The sequence below is a fragment of the Homo sapiens genome, chromosome 3 (assembly GCF_000001405.40).
Source record: "Homo sapiens chromosome 3, GRCh38.p14 Primary Assembly".
Classification (NCBI taxonomy): Eukaryota; Metazoa; Chordata; class Mammalia; order Primates; family Hominidae; genus Homo; species Homo sapiens.
In genome coordinates, this window is record NC_000003.12 from 125534170 (window position 1) to 125556777 (window position 22608).

At 38.7% G+C, this 22608-nt stretch overlaps 1 protein-coding gene across 2 annotated transcripts in view; it reads right to left on the bottom strand.

Moving 5' to 3' along the window:
* Positions 1–22608, bottom strand: part of OSBPL11 (oxysterol binding protein like 11) — a 66640-nt gene that overhangs the window by 5312 nt on the left and 38720 nt on the right. The window contains exons 9-11 of one of the 2 annotated variants that reach the window (NM_022776.5): positions 18012–18510; positions 13237–13423; positions 4282–4464 (exon numbers count right to left, since the gene is read on the bottom strand). In NM_022776.5, the coding sequence (NP_073613.2) occupies positions 4282–4464; positions 13237–13423; positions 18012–18510 (869 nt within the window). Of the gene's footprint in view, positions 1–4281; positions 4465–13236; positions 13424–18011; positions 18511–22608 lie in introns of those variants that run through there. The other variant, XM_047447396.1, reaches the window with a different exon arrangement.

Sequence of the window (22608 nt, forward strand, 5' to 3'; positions counted from 1 at the left end):
CAGGAGTTTGAGACCAGCCTGGCCAACATGGTGAAACCCCATCTCTACTAAAAATATAAAAAAATTAGCTGGGTGTGGTGGCACACGCCTGTAGTCCCAGCTACTCGGGAGGCTGAGGCATGAGAATCGCTTGAACCAGGGAGGTGGAGGTTGCAGTGAGCCGAGACTGCATCACTGCACTCCAGCCTGGGCGACAGAGTAAGACACTACTTTGTCTTAAAAAAAAAAAAAGAAACATTTACCAAGACAGAACATATTCAGAATCATTAAACAAACCTAAATAAAGAATTAAAATCATACAAAGTATATTCTTTCACCAAAATGAAACTAAATTAGAAATAAATAATGGAAAGCTAGCTGGAAAATCTCTAAACATTTAGAAATCATCAACACATTTGTAAATAAGTTCATGAGTTAAAAAAAAAAAACCCACAAAGGAAATAAGAAAATATTTCGAAATGAAAACACATAAAAAGTCATCAGATAGAAATAAAGCAGTCCTCAGAGGAAAATTTACAGCATTAAACATTTAGGAAAAAAATATTGATGAGCTAAACCAGGGATCAAACTATGGCCCACAGCCCATTTTTGTAAATAATTTTTTATTGCAATTTAACAATGTCTCATCATTGACTTATTGTCTATGGATGTTTCATGCTATAAGGGCAGAGTTGAGTAGCTGTGGGAGAGGCTATTTGGTCCACTAAGGCTAAAATATTAATTGGCCTTTTACAGAAAAAGTTTGCTGACCCCTAACCTAAGCTTCCATTGTAAGAAATTAGAAAAAAAAAAAAAAAAAAAAAAAAAAGCAAATTATTTACAATGTAAGGAGAAAAAAAGAGATTTTATAAAAGAGCAAAATTCAATGAGAAAGAAAACAAACATAGATTAAATCAGTGAAGCCAAAATCTGGTTTTTTGTGTAAAATTAATAAACTTTTAGTCACACTGATGAGAAAAAAGATATTACAAATATAAGGAATAAGTATGGGGATATCACTATAGATCCTACACAGATAAAAAAATAAGGTAATATTAGGAACTATATGACAATAAATTTGACACATTAGCTGAAATGAACCAATTCCTTGAAAGACAAACTACCAAAGCTCACTGAAGAAACAGAAAACCTTAACAGCCCTATATATTAAACATACGTAATTTGTAATTCAAAACCTTCCCCTAAAGAAAAGAACAGAGCAATATCCCTCATGTATATAGAAACTATAAAATTCATTACAAAATTTTAGCAAATAAAATTCAGAAGCATCTTTTTTTTTTTTTTTTTTTTTTTTGAGACAGTCTGGCTCTGTCACCCAGGCTAGAGTGCAGTGGTTCAACGGCGGCTCACTGCAACCTCCACCTCCTGGGTTCAAGTGATTCTCATGCCTCAGCCTCCCGAGTAGCTGAGACTACAGGTGCACGCCACCACGCCAGGTGATTTTTGTATTTTTAGTAGAGATGCCTGGCTGATTTTTGTATTTTTAGTAGAGATGGGGTTTCACCATGTTGGCCAGGCTGGTCTTGAACTCCTGACCTCAAGTGACACACCCGCCTTGGCCTTCCAACATGCTGGGATTATAGGCGTGAGCCACCACACCGGCCCAGAAGCATCTCTTTATCTGCCCATACATTCAATCTGTGGTGATATATTGATTTAAAGTATATATAGGAAAAATCTGGGCCGGGCATGGTGGCTCAAGCCTGTAATTCCAGCACTTTGGGAGGCCGAGGTGGGCGGATCACCTGAGATCAGGAGTTCAAGACCAGCCTGACCAACATGGTGAAACCCCATCTCTATTAAAAATACAAAAAAATCAGTTGGGTGTGGTGGTGTGCACCTGTAATCCCAGCTACTTGGGAGGCTGAGGCATGAGAATCGCTTGAGCCCAGGAGGCAGAGGTTGCAGTGAGCCGAGATCATGCCACTGCACTCCAACTTAGGTGACAGAGTGAGTCCATCTCAAAAAAAAAAAAAAAATTCTGGCCTCACACAGATACAGTTTGAAAAAGAGAAGAAATATTTTTACAGATTTTTCAAATAATTCAATTCTTTCATACTGTTTCAAAACTCGACAACTGGTAATTTTAAAAAGGCCAGTTGCAATGTGGAAAATTTAAGAATGTCAATATTTTTTCAAATAACTTATATGGAAATCCACTGGTCTAATGTGCATCCTGAATGGATCATTTATCCATGCATGATTCTGTAATATCATGCATTAGTCATTTGAAAAATACTGGTTCATTGAGTTATGCAGATCTTCCAGATGTTGACATACTATACAATATTTTAAAAAATCACGTTCAATAATATAAGCACCAAGTTCACCAGAAAACTAATTGGGAAGTTTTCAAGTTCATGGTGGCAGATACAATTTTCTAAAATTCTAATTTTGCCTTGAAGCTCAAATTTTATTATTAGTAACATACCATCAATTGTTTTTCTTTAAGTATCACATTCATGTCTTTCATTTACAAGAAAAATGTCTACCTAACATTGAAATTAGAAGAACCATAGTTTGTCTATCAATCATTCTTTTAAGTAAACATGGTATTTCATGAACAAAGTGATTAATTCTGCTTGTAACTCAAAAAATTTTACAAGTGCTCTTCCTCCAGATAACTACTATATTTCTTCGGTAGCCAGCACAAATACTTATTTATATTCCCAATTTGTCATACAGAATACTAATAAGACATGTACTCGGCCAGGCACGGTGGCTCATGCCTGTAATCCCAGCACTTTGGGAGGCTGAGGTGGCAGGATCACTTGAGGTCAGAAGTTCACGACCAGCCTGGCCAACATGGTGAAACCCCGTCTCTACTACAAATACAAAAAATTAGCCAGGCGTGGTGGTCGATGCCTGCAGTCCCAGCTACTCAGGAGGCTGAGGCAGGAGGATCACTTGAACCTAGGAGGTGGAAGTTGCAGGGAGCCGAGATCGCCCGACCACACTCCAGCCTGGGTGACAGGGTGAGACCCTGTCTCAAAAAAAAAAAAAAAAAAAGACATGTACTCAGTAATCCAGATTTTAAAAAAACTAATAATTTGTATTGCTTTTTCAAGGACATCTTAAGAGAAAGGGGCATGCGAGTACATGGCAGTGAAGAATATAATGACTGCTTGTGACGTTTGGTGCCACTGCCTAGATTAGTCCTAAGGCCCACCAGTGCTACCCACAGCATTCCTTTTGCACCATCATAAGAGCCCACAGAGTGAAAAATGATAAATAATATCTCTGTATTGTTATAAACAAATTGTGAACTTGCAGATGCCCTGAAAAGGTCTCAAGGACCCAACAGGGGTCTGCAAAGCAAACTTTGAGACCCTCTCCTTAGGATAAATCCCTGTAAGAATTCTTTAAAAATTCATTATTGCTGTTATTTTTTGACCCACTCTGAATGTTTGATTGTGGACATTTAATCCCTTTTCACACCTAGTTAGAAATTGTTTGGTTCTATTTATGTGATCTTAATGTAAGATGTTTAGTGGTTCCCTGTATATTTTTTTTCTATTTTTAATTGATAGAAGGACATTTTATGTCCCTCATGACATAAAATTTAAACAGTACAAATAGGAATCTTGTAAAAATTAAGTCTCTTTCCTATTCCAGATCCCAGTACTCTTTTCCAGAAGCAACCACTGTCAACACATTTTGGAAGCTGTACCTTATTAACACGTATAGATCCACTTTATTTTTCAAGGTCTATGACACATACTGCCAAAATAACCTCTACAAAGATTGCACTGGTTTAACATCTAATCAGCAGCATGAAAATGCCCATTTGCTCACACCTTTTCCCCAAAGAAGTATTATTTTAAAAACTAATTTGTCTGATTAATTTGTACCTCTGAATTCTAATTACCCTAAACAATTTTTCATTTCCTTGGTTGAGCATTTAAGATGTTCCGATATTTTTGCACTACCTCTTTACATCCTTTGCCCAGTTTTTGTATTGGGGTGCCTGACTTTTTGTTAATAATATAACAAAATTTTTTATGATAAAGTTTTTATGATACACACAGTAATTCTTTGACAGTAAATGTTTTTAATATTTTTGCTCCATTTACAATGTTTGGTTTTTACTAAAATGTGACTGTATATCAAAGAATCTCACAGCTGGCAAGGGGTTTAACAACAGATCAGACTAATGCTTTCAATTTACAAAGCTGATGCAACCTGTGAAGTGACTTGGCCAAGGTCACCAGTTAGTGAAAAGGCTTAGATTAAGATGCAGAGCATCTGACTCTTTCCTGGATAGATGCAAGGATGACATACCTGGATTCAAATGGATCCTGCTTCTCCAGAGGTCTCACTCTTTTCTTCGTCACTGCCAATTTAGTCAAGTCCACATACTTTGTCTCTCCATTGCTATATGTGAACTCAAGAACACTATTCCATTCCCCTTGCACTCTGCATACCACAGTGTTGGTGATGTTGTGCTTTACTTCAGCTGTAACCCTAGAAGCAGACAGAAAAGAAAGATATGCTCTAATAAGTGATATCATGTTTGTTTCTTAGATCTGAAACCCAAGAACACAGCCTGTGAATCCTGTTGAAATTAGTTATATACCTCACTTCAATATGTCAGTGCCAAAGTTAGATTCTTTGTATGTCCTAAGACAGCTTCCTTCATAATTTGTTCAAATAATATCAATTTTAATCTTTAGGAAAAAGGCCAGGAGTCAAATCAGAGACTTCATTATCATTAATGTCAAAATGTTATCTTTAAAATGCTTGCTACAAACAAAACTATAATATTAAAACTAAATAGAAATATGAAAAAATCAATATTTATTAGTCTAAAAGTGTTACAACATTACAATCTATTTAACTTTTTTTTACTAGTTAATTTTACTTATCGAAATATTTGGCATCCCTACATTTGAAGTTCTGCATACATCAATCCCGTACTAAACCACATAAGCCTAATTTTAAATTTAGAAACCACACAAACCAATAATAGGTAGAAAAACATAAAATAATACATTAAAATGTTTAAAATTCTCTTGCCAAAAGAGAAAAATTAAAAGAGCACTGGTCTACAAAAACTATCATTATCACCACAGAACTCAGAGAGACCTTAAACACTACTGCTATTGAAGTTTAATGAAGAGTCACCACAGCCATATATATATATATATATATATATATATATATATATATATATATAATAGCTATATATATGGCTGTTTATCAGCAGATAGCTGTATTGATGCAGCACAAATATATCAATAGGAACAGGCTAGGAATCGGAACAGGTGTAATTGTTATTATTGTTATTTTTGAGACAGAGTCTTGCTCTGTTGCCTAGGCTGGAGTGCAGTGGTGTGATCTTGGCTCACTGCAACCTCTGCCTCCTGGGTTAAGTGACTCTCCTGCTTCAGCCTCCCAAGTAGCTGGAGTAGCTGGGATTACAGGTATGCGTCATCATGCCCAGCTAATTTTTTTATTTTTAGTAGAGATGGGGTTTTGCCATGTTGGCCAGGCTGGTCTTGAACTCCAACCTCAGGTGATCTGCGTGCCTCGGCCTCCCAAAGTGCTGGGATTACAGGCGTGAGCCACTGCGCCTGGACTGTAATTATTTTTAGTGAGGTATTTTATGTTCACTCTAGGACACAGATAACAACAGGGTCAGATTAGACAGAGGTTCAGAACTTAGGGAATGATAGGCAAAGGTTAGGGTCTAATCAGTGTACAAGAGAATATGGCTTATCTAGATTCAAAAGGAAATCCAAAAGACCAAAGCCTAGAGGTTCAAGTGACAGTTCAGGAATCCCAAGTAGCATCTGTCCAGCATAAGCTAAGGGAACAAGAAGGACAAAGTAGAATTCAGGGAGTCCAGTTTCAGTTTTGCAGCGAGTGGTCTGCGAACTCAGCTCAAGGCAGAGGTGTAAGGAGCCCAATAAGCAAATTATTTATAAACCAGATCTCTGGAATCTAAGAGCAAATCAAACATTCACAATCAAGAGTTAAGAGTAATTTTACCTACTAAAAATACAAAAAATTAGCTGGGCGTAGTGGCACAGGCCTGTAGTCTCAGCTACTCAGGAGGTTGAGGCCTGAGAATTGCTTGAACCCAGGAGGCAGAGGTTGCAGTGAGCCAAGATTGCACTATTGCACTCCAGCCTGGGCGACAGAGGATGGCTCTGTCTCAAAAAAAAAAAAAAAAAAAAAAAAAAAAAAGAGTAGTTGTATAGTTGTAGCTCACTGGACACAAAGAACACTACGACTATCAGTCAACTTGATTACAGCAGGAATAGGAATTCTGGGTTATGCCTCAAAGCATACACACTTAAATAACTGCCCTGGTTTCTTGCCAGTGTGAATGTTTCTTGTGATGTCATTACATGCTTCCTCTCTGATCCCACTTGCCAACATCCTTCCCTTACTTGAAAATTTATCTCTATCAAACAGGATATGAGGAAGTGACACTGAACATTTATTTAGTCTGTTTCCCATCCACATACACCCGGAATGATATTCTAAGATAATCAGCTCCTCACTTGATCTTTCTTTTACTACCATAGCGCATCTCTCAAGTTACTGTTGTCTCCCATAAGGCTTTCCAATGGACAATCTTAGGGCCCTGCTCATGACTGCTGGGTATTACAGGGTCCGTATTGTTTAGAGCAGCTACACAGCAAAAACAGCACGAAGAGAAGTGGGGCAGGGGACAGGAATCACATATACTGCAGGTAGGCCATGAGGAACTTGCAAAGGAGCATGAGGAGGAGGAAGGCCTCATCACTTTGCTTATAACAATTCTTCACAACAGTGTAAGGTAATCATCACACTTCTTCCATAAAGAGCCAGAAAGTAACTATCTCAGGATTCTCAGGCCAGACCATCTCTATTGAAACTACTTAACTTTGTCACTGTAGCATGAAAGCAGACAGAAACAAGTACATGAATGGGCATGGCTGTGTTCCAATAAAATTTAATTTACAAAAACAGGTGTCATTAATGGCCTGAGCTCTTTACTTCCATTGTATGTCCTTAGGGAACTGATCACACAGTAATGTTATTATTGGTTTGCCATCCTTGCCCCTCCCCAAGACTGTAAGCTCTTTAACAGGCATGGAATGGGTCTCATCTCTATAGCCCCAGATAGCACTTAGCAGAATGCCTGATAAACAGTAAGTGCTTAATAACTGTTGCCTGAATTAATGAATGAGAAAACAAAACCTCAATTATATTATCACTACATAGCATAAGGGTGAGCAAAAGCATACACACACAAAAGGGTGCCAATGTGTGCATGGAGGGGGAGTTAACATTTTTTGAACATTTAAAATATGCTGGGCATTTTACATAAATTATTTGTCAAGCCTTGTGACTATCCCATTTCTGTAGATGAAGACACTAAGGCTCAAAAATTTAGGTAAGGTGCCCCGAATCTCTTTCTGTATTATTTTTTTTGGAGACAAAGTCCTGCTCCGTCACCCAGGCTGGACTTCAGTGGTGAAATCATGGCTTAATGCAGCCTTGACCACTTAGGATCAAGCCATCCACCCGCCTCAACCTCCTGAGTAGCTGGAACTACAGGCATGTGCCATCATGCTCAGCTAACTTTTTAATTTTTATTCTTGTACAGAGTGGGTCTCACTATGTTGCCCAGGATGGTATTAAACTCCTGGGTTCAAGCGATCCTCCCACCTCAGCTTCCCAAAGTGCTGGGATTAGAGGTGTGAGCCACCGTACCCGGCCCCCAAATCTTGCAGTTAGTAAATAATAGAGTCAGGATTTGAATACATGTCTAAAGGACTCAAAGTCCGGTTCTTCCCAATACTTCTAGGTACAAATTTCCTTAAAACAACTTGACCTGAGGTCTGACATTACCATTATTTTGTAGCTATGATATACAAATAAAAGTTAGGTACTTCAGAGAAATATTTTACAGGACAAAGGGAAATTGAGAAAATAACCCGAAGAAATAAAATTCTGCTCCGATTCAAATCTGTCATTCTGCTTACATGCAGCAGCATGTAACAGAAACAGACTTCCTGCATAAACAGAAGATACAAAGGCAGAGCTTAGGAATTTAAAAGTAAAAGCTTGTACCAAACTACCGTAAGAAAGGTATATTTAAAAAGTTACGCCAATGATTAACACAAAGCAAAAGAAGTTAGGTTATGGAAAGCGATGCTTTTTCTTTTCTTTCTTTTTTTTTTGAGATGCAGTTCCGTTCTTGTGGAGTGCAATGGTGCGATCTCGGCTCGGCACAATCTCGGCTCACAGCAACCTCTGCCTCCCAGGTTCAAGCGATACTCCTGCCTCAGCCTCCCGAGTAGCTGGGATTATAGGCATGTGCCACCATGTCCTGCTAATTTTGTATTTTTTTTTTTTTTTTTGAGACGTAGCCTCACTTTGCCGCCCAGGCTGGAGTGCAGTGGCACGATCTCAGCTCACTGCAAGCCCCGCCTCCCAGGTTCACGCCATTCTCCTGCCTCAGCTTCCCGAGTAGCTGGGACTACAGGCGCCTGCTACTACACCCGGTTAATTTTTTTTGTATTTTTAGTAGAGACGGGGTTTCACTGTGTTAGCCAGGATGGTCTCGATCTCCTGATCTTGTGATCTACCCGCCTCGGCCTGACAAAGTTCTGGGATTACAGGCGTGAGCCACCACGCCCAGCCTAATTTTGTATTTTTATTAGAGACAGGGTTTCTCCATGTTGGTCAGGTTGGTCTCAAACTCCCAACTTCAGGTGATCTGCCTGTTTTGGCCTCCCAAAGTGCTGAGATTACAGGCATGAGCCACTGTGCCCAGCGAAAGTGATTCTTAATCTTAGTGAAATTCTGAAATACTTGATAATTCTTTAAAAGCTGTCTGGTTAAGAGTAGAAAGGAAATGGTTATTGAATCAGATAGACCAGTTCTGTTGAGGGTCTTAAAGAGTCTCAATTTTCTCATCTATAAAACCAATACCTTTCCCTCCTGGGGCTAGTAAGATTTTTTTTTTTTTTTTTTTTTTTTTGAGACAGAGTCTCACTCTGTTGCCCAGGCTGGAGTGCAGTGGTGCAATATCGGCTCACTGCAACCTCCTCCTCCCAGGTTCAAGCAATTCTCGTGTCTTGGCCTCCGAAGTACCTGGGATTACAGGTGCGTGCCACCATGCCCAGCTAATGTTTGTATTTTTAGTAAAGACACAGTTTCACCATGTTGCCCAGGCTGGTCTTGAACTCCTGACCTCAGTTGATCCACTGGACTCGGCCTCCCAAAGTACTGAGATTACAGGCATGAGCCACCGCGCCCAGCCTAGTAAGATATTTTAGATAATATTTATTAAAACACGTATTTACTTGTTTTAAGTAAATTTTTAAATGTGACCATCAATAGTAGACAAGAAGTTAAAGCTGTGATCAAAAGCTCTAGTTTCATTGGAATATGTCAATTTGATATATCCTCGTCCCCTGCAAAGCTTTGTCTCAAAGCAACCATTTTGGGTGGGCACAGTGGCTCAAACACCTGTAATCCCAGCACTTTGAGAGGCCAAGGTGGGCAGATCACTTGAGGTCAGGAGTTCAAGACCAGCCTGGCCAACATGGCGAAACCCCGTCTCTACTAAAAATACAAAAATAGCCAGGCATCGTGGCACGTGCCTGTAATCCCAGCTACTTGGGAGGCTGGGGCAGAAGAACAGCTTGAACCTGGGAGGCGGAGGTTGCAGTGAGCTGAGATCGCACCACTGCACTCCAGCCTGGGCGACAGAGTGAGACTCCATCTCAAAAATAAAAATAAAAAAAATAAAAATAACCACTTTGTTATCTCTCATTTGACAATAACTGAGTTATTAATTTATCTGGGACTATCATTGACTGAGATGATGAAAACACTTCAAATAAATTGTACTAATCATCTAACCATTGCTTTTGATGAGCATCCTTATGAACCAAGATTTTTTTTTTTTTTTTTTTGAGACAGAGCTTCACTCTTGCAATGGTGCCATCTTGGCTCACTGCAATCTCTGCCTCCCAGGCTCAAGCAAGTCTCCTGCCTCAGCCTCCCAAGTAGCTGGGATTACAGGCATGCACCACCACGCCCAGCTATTTTTTGTATTTTTAGTAAAGACGGGGTTTCACCATGTTGACCAGGCTAGCCTCAAACTCTTGACCTCAAGTGATCCTCCTGCCTCAGCTTCCCAAACTGTTGGGATTACAGGCGTGAGCTACTGCACCTGGCCAAGAATGGTTTTAAGAAGCAATTTTACCAAATGGTTAATTATATCCTATAAAAAACAGTTATATAAATGTTGCCAAAACCAAAGTTAAATATTCAAAAATAAGATATTAAATAATTCCCTTTAACAGGCTAAGGTACTGGCTTCTTGTGGTTGCTATCTAGGTGCTAATATCTTAACCATCAGGCAAGTTCTCCAAATCCAAGTCAAATTCTGGATCCTTTATGACTGAGGCAATTGAAAGGCTGTCTTAAAGTTAAAAAATATTTCTAACACAGAAATCTAAGATTTCAACAAAGCACTTGCCTAGGATTTGAGCAGATCAGAATTTTCTCCTTGATAAAAACTTTGCCTCTCTCCACAACTCAGGCTTATGGAGATGAGATGGCCCTATATGCGGGTGAGAATGCAATTAAAATTTTATTTTCAAAGAAAAAAAAGGTTTCTTGACCAAATCTACAATATCTCAACTATGTACATCTTGTATCAATAAATGACATAGAATACAGAATATGCTGCCCTTAAGATAGTTAGCAAAGAGCTAAATCTTACATTCTTGTCCCATTCATCTCTAAAGTAAGAATAATTGATAAATAATAAAACATATGCTTTCTTGCTTTTTAAAAACTTGACAAATCAGCCTTTTAGATTTTCTAGATCCTGTCTCTAAGAGCTCCCTGAGATACCAGAAAACCACTGGTTATGTTAACTTAGCTTCAAATAGAAAATATTTTACTGACTGAAAGTTAGCTTTGGGTTTCATGGTATATATAAAAAATTCACATGAAGCATAATTACATTTTATGGAGAGCTACTGAAGAAGACACTGTCTGTTATTTTACTCGATATCACTATGTAAGGACACATGCAACAAATCCCTTTAGAATTTAGTGCCAGGAAAACAGTTTGTCTATCTCGAAAAAGTGATATGCTTCCTTCGTCAGACTTTGGGAAGTATGTTGAGCATCATGTTTCTTTATTTGCTTTAACAGATGAATCAGAACTAAAAATTGATTTTTTAGCTATAGTAACCATCTAATCCTATCTTCACAGTACCATTGTCCTTACCCATCTTTATGGTATTATGACAGACTTTATCTTTAACTATTACATATGAGTTTTTCCTAAAAGCCTTACAAATGCTTTCCAAAAATAGTATCCTGGATTATAATCTCAGACTGAAAGCTTCTTGTAGGCAAAGATAGTCTTTATTTTTATTTCTCTGTATCTCTAGTATGCAGTAAAGTATATAGATATATGTATATATGTGTGTGTGTGTGCGTGTGTGTGTGTAATCTACATATCCTAAAATCTTTATGATATTACACCACACACTATATATATAGGCATCCTAAAGTGAGTGTGGAAAATGGGAACAGAAGGTGGACATGAGAATGGGGAATAGTTAAGCAGGCTCACTTGGCTGCATGAGAGATAGATGTGGAAACTAAGGGAGTAAGGGAAGACAGGTAGAATATAATATATTTATAACAAATGCAGACAGCAGATAATGTGTCTGTCCCAACTGCAGAGAGCAGTTAAAAAAACTAGGCTATGTCTGAGGAAGGAGGCATGGGCATTAAATAAAGACATGAAGAAGACCTTAGTTACAATAATTTGTAAGCACAAAGAAGAAAAGGTGTCAAGAATAAGAAAGTTGGCTGAGCATGGCGGCTCATGCCTGTAATCTTGGCACTTTGGGAAGCCAAGGATTGCTTGAGCCCAGGAGTACAAAACCAGTCTGGGCAACATAGGGAGATCCTGTCTCTTAAAAAAAAAAAAAAAAGAATAGGAAAGTCTATTTCGTTTTTTTTGTGTGTGTGTGTTTTTTTTTTTTTTGAGACAGAGTCCTGTTCTGTCACCCACGCTGGAGCACAGTGGCACAATCACGGCTCATTGCAACCTCTGCCTCCCAGGTTCAAGCAATTCTCCTGCCTCAGCCTCCTGTGGCATTACAGGCACCTTCCACCACACTCGGCCAATTTTTCTTTTTTTTTTGAGACGGAGTTTCACTCTTGTCACCCCGGCTGGAGAGCAGTGGTGCAACCTCAGCTCACTGCAACCTCTGCCTACTGGGTTCAAGTGATCCTCCAGCCTTGCCTCCTGAATAGCTGGGATTACAGGCATGCGCCACCATACTCAGCTAATTTTGTATTTTTAGTAGAGACGGAGTCTCGTCATGTTGGCTAGGCTGGTCTCGAAATCCTGACCTCAGGTGATCCACCCATGACTAAAAAATCACATGTGACTAAGAAATACATCAATATTAGCCAGGTGTGGTGGCTCCCAGCACTTTGGGAGGTTGAGGCAGGCAGATCACTTAAGGCCAGGAGTTTGAGACCAGCCTGGCCAACATGGTGAAAGCCCATCTCAACTAAAAATACAAAAAGCAGCCAGGCATGGTGGCACATGCCGTAATCACAGCTACTTGGGAGGCTGAGGCACAAAAATCGCTTGAACCCAGGAGGCGGCTGCAAGGAGCCAAGATTGTGCCACTGCACTCCAGCCTAGGCGACAGAGTGAGACTCTGTCTCAAAAAAACAAATGACAAAAAAAAAAAATGCATCAATATCATTGACAATAAGAAGTACTGGATCTAGAAATTTATCACTGCAAGTTGCTTCCACCTAAGCATCTAATGAAGCACATACACTGGCTTTAATCATTGTGCTTCTTGAACCATTCTTCATGATTAGATATATTTCCACCCTAACTTATAGCTATAGCTGCCTTCACTGAGGTCCAGATCCAAATCTGTATCCCTTAAAGGCAGAATTGGGCCAGAGACTGCATGTTCACTTGTTAGAAATTCTACTATAAAGCTCACTAGTTACTTCATCAGGAAAATTTTTAAGAGTAGATATCTTAATGTTACTACTTTTAAAAACAGAGCATGACTTTCAGAATGCTTTAAAGATGAAATATTTTAAATAAGAAATAAACATTAATACAAATCCAACTTCACATAGAACAGAGCAGAAAAAGAATAAGGAGTTGTAATACAAAATCAAAGTGGAAGAATAAGAACTAGATAATCATTAAAATGTTCTTACCGATGCAGTTTGCCACCATAAAATGGCTTGGTATGAAAAGTGATGCTGGCTGAATATCCAGTTTTTGCACAGTTGACACTGACTTTGCCACCCAGTTCTACCCAAGGAACAGTCAAAATTGACCGAGCATATGCACAGGGTAGAGAAAATGTGTACTCTTCTCCATGCTCCAACAGACTAAGGATACCTGAATGTGAAAACATGAGGGTGGTTAACATCTTTTTAAAGAAACAGCTAATGAAACAATCCATATTAATTTTGTTCTTGTCTAGTAAATAAGCATCATTATTTTTCCTAACCTTCATTTAACTTTCAATGAAACTGACTTCATTTATAACTATATCTGACATTACCAGGCAATAGTGAATCAGGTTTACTTTCACTATGACATGACCTTTCCATCAATTTGAGGTTCATGAAACCAGTAAATGTTACAGTGGAAACATTTCAAGGGTTTTCTCTAATGCTCCTAAAAATAATTTTTTTTTTGAGACGGAGTTTTGTGCTTGTTGCCCAGGCTGGAGTGCAGTGGCGTGATCTTGGCTCACTGCAACCTCCGACTCCTGGGTCGAATGATTCTCCTGCCTCAGCCTCCCAAGTAGCTGGAATTACAGGTGCCCGCCACCATACCTAGCTAATTTTTTTGTATTTTTAGTGGAGACGGGGTTTCACCATGTTGGCCAGGCTGGTCTCGCACTCCTGACCTGAGGCGATCCACCTGCTTCGGCCTCCCAAAACGCTGGGATTACAGGCGTGAGCCACTGTGCCTGGCCCCTGAAAATAATTTTTTAAAAAAGGCCTTCAGTCAGAGTTTAAGACAATGGTATGCTAAAATTTTATCATTAGTATGAATAACTTTTTAACAGTTTGGGAATAACTAGATATTCAATGTTATAAAGTCATAGACATTCATCTAAGACAGTATAATGGGAAAAAATTGTTCTTCATTCTATTCTATGTATATTAAGAAAGAAAAAATGTTGTTTGATTATAAAAACTATGGTCATAATAATTTTGTTTGCCAAATTATAAAATATTTATGGTGAAGCTAGAAGAGATAATAGTGGTGGTTTTCAAACAAATATTATTCTAATGGAGAAAGGAGCTTGTTCCATATTAAGTGATGCTAATTAAAGATGGTTTAAAAGGTTTTATAAAAAGGGGACTATATTAATAAATAATCACTGTATACTAGATAATTAAGGGATACTAAGGATACTCGAGCTACATTACTAACCTTCTAAACTCATTACCTGTGTCATCAACAGACCACATATTGAAGTGGATATATACTACTAGTCCAAACTTTTATGGCATCTCCCTCTTAATAAATGCTCGTTAAGCACTCAGTTCTCAATGTTCACAAATAAGGGCAAGTATATGATAAATATTTTAATATAGTTAATTTTTAGGATAAGCAAATAGACAAAATGAGATTCTAAAGTAGCCTACACAAAGCAACATCAACTATTTTTTTTTTTTGTATTGCTCTTAATAGTCTTCACAAAGGGCAACAATAAATTAAGGTTTATTGAGCCATTTCCCAAAAAACATGGTTCTGGCTATATTTATACATGAGAGCTGTCAGATGACAGACAACATACTTGTATATATTTTAAGTCTTTTTTTTTTTGAAATGGAGTTTCACTCTTGATGCCCAGGCTGGAGTGCAATGGCACGACCTCAGCTCAATGTAACTTCTGCCTCCCGGGTTCAAGCAATTCTCCTGCCTCAGCCTCCCAAGTAGTTGGGATTACAGGTGCCTGCTACTATGCCTGGCTACTTTCTTTGTATTTTTAATAGAGACGGGGTTTCCCCATGTTGGCCAGGCTGGTCTCGAACTCCTGACCTCAGCTAATCCACCCACCTCGGGCTCCCAAAGTGCTGGGATTACAGGCGTGAGTCACCACGCCCAGCCCCATTCCTGACTTTTACTTACTTTCTGTTGAGGATATCGATAACCATTAAATTTCCAATATATTCCATTAATATGTAGCAGCACAATAAAAAATTATTTACATACCTCCTTTATAATTAAAGCATGGTTAAGACATGAATGCTTTTCTCCATTTCTTTTTAAAAAATTTTACATTTGAGACAAGGTTCTCCTCTGTCATGCAGGCTGGAGTACAGTGGCACGATCATGGCTCACTGCTGCCTCAATTTCCTGAGCTCAAGTGATCCTGCCACCTCAGTCTCCCAAGTACCTGAGATTATAGAAGCAAGCCAACATGCCCAGTTAATTTTTTTTTTTAAATTTTTGTAGAGATAGGGTCTCATTATGTTGCCCAGTCTGGTCTCAAACTCCTGGGTTCAAGCTATCCTTCCACCTCGGCCCACCAAAGTGTTGAGATTACAGGTGTGAGCCACTGTGCTGGGCTTTTCTTCACTTCTTGAAGTACTTCCTTTCTTGCAGTGTGAGAGGCTACCATTTCCAGATTCTTACTGTTACATGAACTGATAAGATTAACTGTCCTTTGGGAGAGTGTCAAAGAATATGGTTCTAAATGTGTCTATTCCTTAACATTTATGACCTTAGACATGTCTCATCATCTCTAGACTTCAGTTTTTTTTCACTTATAAAATAAGCAAGTTGATCTATGAAGTGCTTAAGGCTAACGTGACGGAGCTTATGATGGAGGGTAGCAAACTTTTTGTTTTTAACTAATAAAATATGAATGATTTCAGCTGGGTGTAGTAGCTCACAACTGTAATCCCAGAACTTTGGGAAGCTGGGGTGGGTGGATCACTTGAGCTCACAAGTTTGAGACCAGCTTGGGCAACATGGCAAAAATCTCATCTTTACAAAAAATACAAAAATTGGTTGGGCATGGTGGCGCACGCCTGTAATCCCAGCTACTGTGGAAGCTGGGGTGGGAGGATGGCCTGAGCCTGGGAGGCAGAGATTGCAGTGAGCCAAGATGGCCCCACTGCACTTCAACCTGGGCGACACAGCTAGACCGTGTCACACACACACACACACACACACACACACACACACAACAAACAAAAAAAAAAAAAGAGAGTACTTTCTAATGTTATAAAAGTTGTAATTAACTTGAAATATTATTTGGAAATTGGTAAGACATATTACAACAGAACTTAAAAATGAGGAAAACTGAAAAAGAGGATACTTTCTTCATAACGACTATAACACAATCTCAAAATATTAGATTGGCTTAATGATGCCATGCTTACACTGTAAGATGACATTCAGAGCATAGTGTTCTTTGCATAAGAGTTTTCCTTTAACATAAAAGTGGTATTTTTTTCCTATCATTATATTTTCATTAACTCTTCAATAATTTCTGTGGAGATTTTTGTTTTTGTTTCATATTCTTGGTCAAAAAACTCTGCATTTCCAAAAATAATTTTTTCATAATCTTCTGATGAAGTAGAATTAACTTTTATCAGCATATATTTTTAAATATTCTATGAATAGCACCTAAATATTCTATGAATAGCACCTCTGGCCTCCATCTCCTAAAGTGCTGAGATTACAGGCTAATGCCTGGAGGTGGAGGCCAAAGGATCACTTGAGCCCAGGAGTTCATGACCAGCCTGGGCAACATATTGAGACCCTGTCTCTAAAAATAAAAATTAAAAAAATTAGCCTAGCATGGTGGTGCATGCCTGTAGTCCTAGCTACTTGGGAGGCTGAGGCAGGAGGATGGCTTGAGCCGAGTAGGTCAAGGCTGCAGTTAGTTATGACCATGCCACTGCACTTCAGCCTGGGCAACAGAGCAAGACCCTGTTTCTAAAAAAAAAAAAAAAAAAAAATTAAATTAAATTAAATTAAAAAAAAGGATGGAAAATCTATTTCATAGAATATTATGCAGTCATTAAAATATGTTTTATCAATGACATGATAAAATGAATATATTTAATTTAAAAAGCAGGACTCAAAACTATATATATTATTAATTCTAATTTTATAAGGCTAAAAGTATGAACATACACACACAGAAAAAGTATAAAATATTAAATTTATATATATATGGATGCAGGCATTACAGAAGCTTTTATTTTCTGCTTTGTACTTTTCTAGTTTTCCAAATATTTGATAAGAAATATTTAAAATCGCCAGGCACGGTGGCTCATGCCTGTAATCCCATCACTTTGGGAGGCCGAGGTGGGTGGATCATCAGAGGTCAGGAGTTTGAGACCAGCCTAACCAACATGGTGAAACCCCCCATCTCTACTAACAATATAAAAATTAGCTGGGTGTGGTGGCATGGTGGCAGGCGCCATAATCCCAGCTACTCGTGAGTCTGAGGCAGGAGAATCGCTTGAACCTGGGAGGCGGAGTTTGCAGTGAGCGGAGATAGCACCATTGCACTCCAGCCTGGATGACAGAGCGAGACTCCATCTCAAAAAAAAGAAAAGAAAACAAACGAAAAGAAATATTTAAAATCAGAAAAAAATAATTTAAAAAGAGAATTTACATTAGTTCATAGATATACTCCTCCCATCCCCACAAGAAGCATTCTGGAACACTCTAGAAATTGGAGCGAAAAAGTAACATAATATTTTAAACTTAGAGTTAATATTTATCTGGGGTTCCTAAATTTAAGATTGTAGTTTGATATTAAAAATTATAAAACAGGCACTTGACCTTCACGTGCCTGCTTGGGTTTCTCCCAAGCGAACTTTCCTTTCTTTCCTGTTCTAAAGCCTTTTAAAGTAAACTTTCATTCCTGCTTGGAAAAAAAAATACATATATATATGTGTGTGTGTATATATATATATATATATAAAATAATTTTTCTACTTACCTTCTCCAACCATTGTCACGCCTATTGACATGCCTAAGAACTTGCTCTTAGTCCAGACATGCGCATTTACACACATCTTCCTCTCTGTACATTCTGCATAAAATCCTGAGACTGGAGGATGATGAGAAACCTGCTCAGCAACAAATCTGACTGTGTAACAGTCTGATCCCACCTGGGTCAAAGACTCCCCCGATAAAGGAGCATGATTTGTGACTCCCTGGGTGGAAGAACTGCTAAAAACACTGGATGCTACCTCGCTTTTTGGCATCTTCCAGGAACAGTGAAATGTTTCTCCAATGATAGGATTGTATGGTTTTTTAGCAATGGCTCCCTTACGGCCTTCATGAAATGAGGTAAGGTAGTACTCAACAAAGCGAATCATTCTGTCCTCAGCTGTGGCTCCATTAGTGATGGCTATAAATAGGTCTGGATGAGACATAAAGTCTGCATACATTTCCAGCAAGGAACGCTTCTCTAGGATAAATGTAGGAAGCACCACCTAAAACAACAATCAATGAAAGAGGGGAAATTTAATCCATGTGTAGCATATCTGTAGACAACTATTCTCTCTCTGAAAACATTTCATTCTAGATGGGTATTAAAAACAAAGTCACAAAGAAAAAGTATTCAGTCACATTAAAAAATAAGCATTCTTGGCCAGGCGCAGTGGCTCATGCCTATAATCACAGCACTTTGGGAGGCCAAGTTGGGAGGATTGTTTCAGCACAGGAGTTCGAAACCAGCTGAGGCAACATAGTGGAACCGTGTCTCTACAAAAGTTACAAAAATTAGCTGGGCATGGTGCCTTGTGCCTGTGGTCCCAGCTGCTCAGGAGGCTGAGGTGGGAGGATCACCTGGGAGGTCAAGGCTACAATGAGCCATGACTGCGCCACTGCACTTGTACCTGAGCAACAGAGTGAGACCCTGTCTTAACAACAACAACAAAAAAGCATTCTTAAAAGGACAGGCAAATCTGCCCAAGACTAAACATAAATTCAAGAGAGTCAGAAGAAACTTCAAAAAAATCCTCAAACTTCTAGACTGGATAAAAGTATCACCAGGGAAATGGTGTTAAAACTCAAAGTAAATGTTAGCCATGCCTTTGCTCCTTTCCTATGTTAAAATTAAATTGTAGATGAATGACCAAGACATGAGAAAAGTCAATAAATGTCATTCCCTGAGAACAGACTAAAGAGATCACAGACCGAAGCAAAAACTGCAACATATATTTAATCTTAAGCACAAGAGAACTATTTCCAATAAGAGAAATTTTTATACTTAAAACCAGGTAAGTGTAAGAAAGATAAATATTTTACTTAAAGCAGAGTTGGGAGAGGCACTGCAAAATGGTTTAAACGTCTGAGAAAGCAAAATCTGGCAATATTTTTCAAGAGCCCTAAGATGTTCTTACCCATTTAGCCTAGTACTTACATTCCAAGAATCTAGCCTTAGGAAATAAATAATTGAATGAAGGAAAAGCAATGTGAAAAAATAATTAGAACAACCTGCATTTTAAACTACGGTTCTAGCTAACTGAAGTAGGGAACTTTCATTTAATTGACTATTATAGTCATTTAAAAAGACGGTTTTGAAGATGATACAAATAATACAAAAGACAGTGGATGTTGCAGGTTCAGCTGGTGAATTGAACACATGCATCTTAATTTCACTTTCTGTCGAAATTCCACTGAAATTAAATTAACTTCATATAAAGACAAACCCAGAGATACCAGGAAAGTAGACAAAACACAACAAAATTTTGAGAGTTCCTAACTAGAAAGCTGAAACTTAGGCAGTAGGTTACAATATGCACAGATTCCTAAAAAGGCTCAGGAGCTGATCGCACTAGGTACCTCTGGATCTGGGGATTCACAGAAATGATAAAATAAAAATAACTGAGTAAAATCTGTATGGAAAGCAATTAGATGCCTAACTCAAACCCCCAACTCCACACTGTTAGTAACTACCCTCTTGGACCTCAAAGTCTAGAGGTTTAGCCTCTGGATAAACAAGGTGGTCTATTCTCTAGACTGGAGAATAGCAAGGAATTCTAAGAGAGTGGATACCAAGTGATACATAACAAGGGCATTTAATAACTCCATATAAACTAAACGTTAGCTATTAACACCCTCTCTCATGCAGCCTTCTTCTCCTTTTTAACTCCTTTTGGAGTCACCAAGTATGAGATGAAAAAATTTTTCTTCTGGGAAATTTGACTAAACCTAGAAGAAAAACCTAATGATACTGACACCAAGTCTCCCAACAAATGGCCCATCCAGATTATGGGACAATGAAAAACATAGGCGCCACCTACGTGTTAAAGCTTAAAATCAGATTTTAGTTTCCCTAAACTTAATTGTGAGCAGAAGATCTGATTTCTGAGAAAACCTCTAACTAGGAATATAAAGAACAAAATAAAGAAACAGATTTGGAGGAAACAGAAACCTCAAAGGAGGGGAAAAAACAAAAATAAAAAATAATATCTTCAGAGAATTAAGAAGATATTATATACATACAAGAATGCTTTTTAAAAAAATCAGAAAATTTAAAAACATGACAATAATTAAAAGTCAAAAGAAGAGTTAAAAGATAAAAGGCGAGGAAATCTCCCATAACACAGAAGACAGACAAAGAGAGAAAAAGAAAAGTATGAGAGAACAATAAAAGACCAGACCAGGAAGTTCAATGGCCATATAATAAGGATTTCAGAGAAAACAAACAAACAAACAAACAAAATAGAAGAAAGAAAAATCATTGTGATGGTTAATATTGAGTGTCAACTTGATTGGATTGAAGGATACAAAGTACTGTTCTTGGGTGCGTCTGAGGGTGTTGCCAAAGGGGATTAACATTTGAGTCAGTGGATTGGGAGAGGCAGACCTACCCTCAATCTGTGTGGGCACCATCTAATCAGCTGCTAGGATAAAAGCTAGCAGGGGAATATGGAAGGACTAGACTTGCTGAGTCTTCTGGCCTACATCTTTCTCCCCTGCTGGATGCTTCCTGCCCTTGAACATCGGACTCCAAGTTCTTCGCTTTTGGACTCTTGGACCTTCAACCACAGACTGAAAGCTGCACTGCTGGCTTCCCTACTTTTGAGGTTTGGGGACTCGGACTGGATTCCCTGCTCCTCAGCTTGCAGATGGCCTATTATGAGACCTTACCTTGTGACTGTATGAGTCAATATTCCTTAATAAACTCCCCTTTATATATACATCTATCCTCTTATTTCTGTCCTTCTAGGAACCCTAATACAATCATCAAAGAAATAATTCAAGAAAATTTCAGAGAACTCAAAAACATGAGTTGTCACACTGAAAAGGCCCACCAAGTGCCCAGATACAATGGATAAAAGAAACCTACATCAATGTCACAATACCAAGACATGATAAAGAGAAGATTCTAAACAATTTTGGAGAGAAGAACATACAAAACAAGTCACAAACAAAAGATCAGGAATCAGAATGACTTCAGTCTTTTCATTAGAACCCTGCAGCACGGAGATATTATCTTTTTTTTTTTGAGATGGAGTCTCGCTCTGTCACCCAGGCTGGAGTGCAGTGGCGTCATCTCAGCTCACTGCAACCTCCACCTCCCAGGTTCAAGTGATTCCTGTGCCTCAGCCTCCTGAATGGCTGGGATTACAGGCATGTGCCACCATGCCTGGCTAATTTTTGTACTTTTAGTAGAGGGGATTTTGCCATGTTGGCCAGGCTGGTCTCAAACTCCTGGCCTCAAGTGATCTGCCTGCTTTGGCCTCCCAAAGTGCTGGGATTACAGGCGTGAGCCACTGCACCTGGCCACAAGTAACAAATTCTATCTAAACCAGCAATGAAACACGAGGGCAACACAGACATTTCAGACACACATTTTCACATTCGCTTCTTACAAATCTTTCTGAGAAATTAATGGAGGATATATTCCAACAAAATGAGAGGCAACCAAGAAAGAAGAAACGGATACAGTAAACGGATTAGCCAAAGAGAATGCTAAAGGAAATACTGGTCCAGATTAGAGTGATGTGACTCAAGAGACAGACATACTGAAGACTGTCATCCACATGCTTCATGCTGCCATTGTATCATCTTTTCAAACCTCAGGATAAAATAGCCTAGTGAAACTGATCCCAAGTGTATCTGTATTTGGCTTGTGTTGACTATCTGCTGGTGAAGTTCTTAGTCTCCTCTCCATGTTCTGCTGTCTGGATTGGCTGAAGATGCTCATTTCCCCGAAAGAAGCCTTCTGACTTCAATCTATTCCTCAGAGTTGGAGGTAGGTCACAGTTTGCTTTGAAACTGAAAATACTGAGCAGCTCACTCCCCCAGCCCACATTCCTCCTGTAGCTGACTCACACCAAATGCTCTGGGATGTATATTTTACAGGACTCACAACTTTGCCTTATAATTTCACAAGAAAGGGCTCTTCTAAACTTTCTCAATAACTTATAAGAAGCTAAAGCCAGAGACTCAAATGTTTAACTTGTCTTTTTCTGGGAGCTGCTTTCTACAAATGGCAACACAGTCCTTTCCTTATGCTAAGCTTATGTTAGCTATTCATTTTTTCCTAAACATCATTATGGAGTACAAAAAAGCAGTAA